Source organism: Homo sapiens, chromosome 12 (assembly GCF_000001405.40).
Source record: "Homo sapiens chromosome 12, GRCh38.p14 Primary Assembly".
NCBI lineage: Eukaryota > Metazoa > Chordata > Mammalia > Primates > Hominidae > Homo > Homo sapiens.
In genome coordinates this window covers 130,241,771-130,245,136 of record NC_000012.12, presented here as the reverse complement: position 1 = coordinate 130,245,136, position 3,366 = coordinate 130,241,771, and the positions used below count along the sequence as shown (strand labels likewise).

General features: G+C 46.8%; 1 annotated feature.

Annotated features, from left to right (window-relative positions):
• Nucleotides 1,502-1,671: an enhancer, noted in NCBI's record as "experimental_25789 CRE fragment used in MPRA reporter constructs". NCBI's record gives its function as "activates a minimal promoter by MPRAs in K562 erythroleukemia cells, with activity observed for both the introgressed and non-introgressed 12:130728096 variant alleles {active_cell/tissue: K562}" and the evidence as "EXISTENCE:reporter gene assay evidence [ECO:0000049][PMID:34662402]".

The window sequence follows — 3,366 nt, the reverse complement described above, 5'->3', positions numbered from 1 at the left end:
AGGTGTTTACTTCTGGGTAAGAGGGAGATACAAGATCCTCATAAAACCACATCATGAAGCTTCTCTTCCGGATCATGGCTGCAAGTAAGTCACTTCAGTTTCTGGTGAGTAAAATCCATCTCTGCCCAGCATGCTCTTGCAGAATGCGAACCCCTTGGACTGTCGCTGTTTTTAAGACAAGCAGCAGAAGACCAGACCATGGGTTAGAAAGCCTTGGCTTCAGTCCATATGTCAGTTGGGCAAAGCAACTTTGTAAAAGTCCAGCTCCTCTAATTCTCCTGATCTATGAAATGGGGATAATTGGAGGTATAATAATTGTGCTGGGTTGAAAATTCATGCTCACCAGGAAACACAGAATGGACCTTGTTTGGAAAGAGGGTCTTTCCAGATGTGATTCGTAAAGATGAGCGGTGGGCCCTAATCCAGTGATCGGGGTCCTTAGAAGAAGAAAAGAATTTGGACACAAAGAGACACAGAGGCCAGCATCATGTGAAGAGGGAGACAGATGGAAGTGAGGTGTCTACCGGCCAAGGAGCAGTGAGGATTGCTGGAAATTCCAGGCACTAGAGAGAGGTGTGGGACAGACTGTCTCTCAGAGTCTCCAGAGAAACCAACTCCAGTGGCACCTCAATCTTGGACTTCTGGTCTCCATAAATATGAGAAACAAATTTCTGTTGTTTTAAGTCACTGCATTTGTGCTACCTTGTTACAGAAGCATGAGGAAACACGAGACATTAAACAGCCACCGCATGGTGTCTTTCTGAGGCTCAGTTTGAATCATACACAGAAGACCTTCAAAGGTTAGTGGTATGTTCATATATGGGTTGTGACCGTGACCCTGGGAGACAGAGTCCAGGTTCACACTTGCAGCTCTTGCACTCAACTGCTGAGGGCTTTGGGTAGCTCCCGGGTTCTTCCGAGCCTGAGATTCCTGGTCTATAATCAGGAGCCACCTCTACCTCGTGTTGTCGGGAAGATGTAATGGGGACAGCATGTAGAGGGCCTGTCACCAAGGAGGCACCTGGGAGATAATAAAGGCTGTTATTATTATTATTTATGGAGAATCCCTTGTGCTCGCTTTCACCCTGCATTTGCTGTTTGGGGCAGTTATTGGGATCACTGAGCAATACTTAGTGTGTACTTATGAAGCACCTCACTCTGCCAGTGGGTGTCAAGGAATTGTAACCAGGGCCCTCAGCCCTGGAACGGTAAACAGCATAGAGAGGGGAGAGAGGATGGGAGCTGGTGCTCTGCGGCCATGCCCATCTGCACTGCACCATGGAAAATGCATGCTCCCATCCAAATGGGCAACAGTCTCCCTTCTTATGAGTGGGCAATACTCTCCCTTCTTATGAAAGATCGAAGTGAGACCATCCTAGACTCCTGAGATTGGAAACGGGTGACTGTCAAGTGGAGTGGGAGCTGGAAGTGGCAGGACTCCTGTCCCTTTCTGAGATGGAAGGGAGCACACATCGGAGTGGGTGGGTCTGTTGCGCATATTTGAACCCAGTAGTGCTGAACTTATGTGCTCTCAAAATCCTGCAAATACTATTTTCTTCCAAATGAACAAAACCTGCTCCTTGGACGAACCCATTGAAGTCTGCAGGATGCACTTCTGTGAGATTTGGGCTTTTACAATGGAAGTTTAGGTAGGGGAGGCTTTGCTTTCTAATCAGGTACATCAAACACAGTCAAAATCCCTTCTAAGGTTCTTCTTGAAAAGTCAATGAATGGATCATGATCAAAGTGTTTGAATTTTTCTGTGTCCCCAAATAACACAATTCTTGATGATACATTAAAAGAGGACTGTATGTAAAGGAATAAGGACGCTTCTTTATTTGGGTTTTCAGCACGCTGTAGTGCTAAGCTCGCCAAAGTCCATTGAGTATATCATCTCTTTCTTCTTTTATCCTAAAAAGAACCTTCTAATCTATTGTCATGACCATACTGTGTTTATAATAAACCCAGCTGATAAATTATAATGTTATTCATTCATTCAACAAGTGACTCCTGTGCCCCTACTGTGTGCCAGGTGCTGCTCAAGGCACTGAGATGCCAACGCAGAATGAGACACACAGACCCCTGCCTCCCTGACCCACCCTTGCAGGCATGGACACAGGTGTTCAGTGTGATCCCAGTTAGCGTCTCTCATGTGCTAGATGAGGACAGGGTTCTGGAGACATAAAAGCAATGAAGACAGGGAGCTGGGGTCACAGGCTGAAATTCTGGACAGCGATTGCAGAAGAGGCCTCCTGGGGAAGGTGACATGAGAGCAGGGTTTAAGGAGGAAAGGGGACCAGCTGGGCAAAGGTTGGAGGGAGGAGCATCCCAGCTGAGGAGACAGCACCTGCTGAGGCCCCGAGGTAGGCCAACCTGGCCCTGGAAGGATCTGTGGAAACTAGAGCAGAATTAGCCAAGAGGAAAGCAGGAGGGGCTGAGGCCCGGATCACAGGAGGCTGTGTGGACCCTGCCGGTGCCACGGCCTCTGCTCTAAGTCAGGTGGGGAGTTACTGGAAGTGAGGAGCAGAGGAGTGACAGGAAATGATGGGGCTGTTACAGGACCACCAGGGCTGCTGTGTGGACAGGCAGCTGCGGCAGCTACCAAGAGCAGAAGCAATGATGCCGGCCTGGAGGCTGCATGTGTGTCCATATCTACAACTCGGTCTACACCACACCTGCATTTCCATCGCTGTCACTTCTATCGTCATCTATATCCAGGTAGGAGGCTGTATGTCCATATCCACAACCTGGTCTACACCACACCCACACCTACATCTCCATCACTATTACCTCTATCATCATCTCCATCCAGCCCGGAGGCTGCACGTGTGTTCATATCTACAACCCAGTCTACACACCCACACCTATGTCTCCATCGTTGTCACCTCTACCATCATCTCCATCCAGCCTGGAGGCTGCATGTGTGTTCATATCTACAACTTGGTCTACACCACACCTGCATCTCCATCACTATCCCCTCTATCATCATCTCTATCTATATTAATATCTGTCTATCTATCTATCACCTATCATCTATCCAGCTCTACCTACCTACCTGTCATCTATCATCTATCTGTCCATCTATCATGTATCACCTATCTGTCTATAAGTTATCTATGTCTATTTATTCATCTATCATCTATCTACCTACCTTCATCTATCTTCTACCTATCTATCCAGCTCTATCTATCCATCCATGTATCTATGTATGTATCTATCATCTATCTATTCATCTACCTATCATCTACCTATCTATCCATATATCTACCTATCTATAATCTATCTGTATCTATCTATCTATCTCCTCATCGATCGTCTGTCAACCTGTTATCTATCTACCTGTCTATCATCTATCTTCCTATCATC